At 41.3% G+C, this 2730-nt stretch overlaps 1 pseudogene; it reads left to right on the top strand.

The window, feature by feature from the left end:
* RPL37P5 (ribosomal protein L37 pseudogene 5) lies at nucleotides 1572-1915 on the top strand (annotated as a pseudogene).

The raw sequence follows: 2730 nt of genomic DNA, 5'->3' as shown, positions 1-2730 counted from the left end.
TTTACCTTTTTGGGTCTGGGATTTTTTTTTCTCCCTGCTGTGTTTAAATAAGTTGGACTGGATCTCAGATTTGCTGGACTGGTAAAAGCAGATGTGTCCTTGGCTATAGGAGTAGAAGGTGATGTAGTAATTTCAAGTGCTTTAACTATTAAAGACTTGCTTTCTTAACCAGAAAGTTAGGATGGTGATATGTATTTGTTAAGAATTTGATCATGGAATGAACAATGATAGATGTGCAAATTATTACTTCTTTGTGCGTTTCTTTTCTCAAAGATCATAGGTACAAGCCTGCCTCTAATTATATGTCATTTAGATGTGGCAATTTCATTAGAGGATGTCAAGGTGTTTTGCAAACATTAGTTAAGACTTAAATCTCCCTGTGAGTGATTATGATTGTTTTCCTGGCACATAGAGCAACAAACTGAGACACAAAACACTTCAGAATCTTCCCAAGATTACCTTCCTGAACACTGCCATTAAGAACCACATGGACTGTTTGTAAGTTACTTGCTCTAACCTGCAGCACTATATAGTCACTTGGTAGAAGTCAACTAAGGAATTTTTGAAAGAAGGCCAGTCAGCCTTGGTGCCATTGGCTAAAGTTCTCAGACATGTCGAAATGCGTGTCTTCTATGCAGAAGTGGAGGCAATCCCATCAAAGTGAGGGAGGGACAGTTACCATGAGACTGACTGGCTCTGTCTTCTTTTCAGAAGCTGAAGGCTTCATTCCCACCTGGCACCTGGCACCTGGGTAGATTCTATGGCATTAGGTGGAGTTCGTAAAGGCAGTGTTTCTGAAGAATGGAGATGCCCTCCAAGGTATTACTGTGGATACACTGGAGGGTCCAGGGTCTAAGGGAGCAGGCTAAGGGTTGGATAAATGGTAACTATGCTGCCTAATTTCACTCTTCACAAAAGCACAAGAGATAGACGTCACCCTGGAGAGTGCTGTAGTAATCCCTAAATGCCTTATAGGATTACTGAACCCTACTTTTACAGGTTCTTTCTGTTGTTCTTTTTTTCTTTCTTTCTTTTTTAAGAGATGGTGTTCCTCTAAGTTGTCTAGACTGACCTCGAACTCCTGGGCTCAAGCAATCCTCCCACTTCAGCCTCCTAAGTAACTGGGACTACAGTTGCATGCCACTGGCCCTGCATCACTGGTTCTTAATACGGGAAGATTTTGCTTTTATGACTGTCCACTTGGTGTCATGTGGAGAAATGGCTGACAGACAAAAAAATACTAGTTGCAGTAGAATTTATTTATTCATTTCTCTTCTTTCATTGCCTTACTCCTAGACCACTGCCTCATTGGTTTTCTCATTTTCAGTTATTCCTTTTTCAGTCCATCCTGTGCATAACAGCCAAATAAGTTTATAAAGCACTGCTTTCTGTGGCACATCTCCTAAAAGTCTCCTATGGCTCTTCATTGTACAACAATATCAACAATAACAGCAACACAACAGCAACTAATATTAGCCAAGCCTTCAATTATGAGTAGACACTGCACTAAGGGCTTTACATATTATAAACATTTCTGCATAACTTTGAAGATTCCATTAAAATTGGATCTGCTCTTCCCATCTCTTTGGTGTCGACCACAGAAGCAACAAGATGAAGGGAATGTCGTTGGGAAAGCGTCACAAGAAGATGCGCATGTTGTGCCACCACTGCAGCTCCAAGGCCTACCACCTTCAGATGTCAACCTGTGGCAAACGTGGCTACCCTGCCAAGCGCAAGAGGAAGTGTAACTGGGGTGCCAAGGCTAAAAGACGAAATAGCACTGGGACTGGTCGGATGAGGCACCTAAAAATTGTATATCTCAGATTCAAGCATTGATTCCATGAAGGAACAACACATAAACCAAAGAGGGCAGCTGTTGCAGCATCCAGTTCATCTTAAGAATTTCAATGATTTGGGTGGTTGCAGTGGCTCATGCCTGTAATCCCAGGACTTTGGGAGGCCGAGGCAGGCAAATCACGAGGTCAGGAGTTCGAGACCAGCCTGGCCAACATGGTGAAACTCTGTCTCTACTAAAAATACAAAAAATTGGCTCGGTGTGGTGGCGGATGCCTGTAATCCCAGCTACTCAGGAGGTGGAGGCAGGAGAATCTCTTGAACCCAGGAGGCGGAGGTTGCAGTGAGCTGAGATCTTGCCACTACACTCTAGCCCAGGCAACAGCGCAAGACTCCATCTCAAAAAAAAAAAAAAAAAAAAAAGAATTTCAATGATTAGTCACTCAATAAATGTTCTGGTTTAAAAAACAAAAAAATAAAATTGGATCTTACCTTCCTTTTTAAGTTTTATTTCCTTCTATTCTAACATGAACAATCTGTTCTGGAGAGACTGGGTCTCATTTCTGTGCCCACCTTCACCTTCAGCTTCCACTCTGAATGCCATTCTTACTACCCTTGGCTCATCCTGTTTTCCAATCACTGAATGAGCCTTCTTTCCTCTGCACTTTTTTCAATTTATCTTTCAAAGGAGCACCTTGAATCCCAATTCAGGGCTTCTATTAACAATTCTATTTCCCGTCTGTCTACTTTTCCTTGTATTATATAGTTAGCACTCAATTACCTGCCATCTATTTTTTAATAGACTATCAGGGCATATTGAGTACCTATGTGTAAAAATGTTCTTTGTTTCTTCCATTTTTGTCTTGAATCATGTCCTTCTAGACTTGACTTCTCTATCAGGCAGGATAGGCTAAGTTATGTAGCAGTAATAAATAA

The sequence above is a fragment of the Homo sapiens genome, chromosome 14 (assembly GCF_000001405.40).
Source record: "Homo sapiens chromosome 14, GRCh38.p14 Primary Assembly".
NCBI lineage: Eukaryota > Metazoa > Chordata > Mammalia > Primates > Hominidae > Homo > Homo sapiens.
The sequence above is the reverse complement of the archived record's forward strand: the minus strand, read 5'-3'. Positions and strand labels throughout refer to the sequence as shown.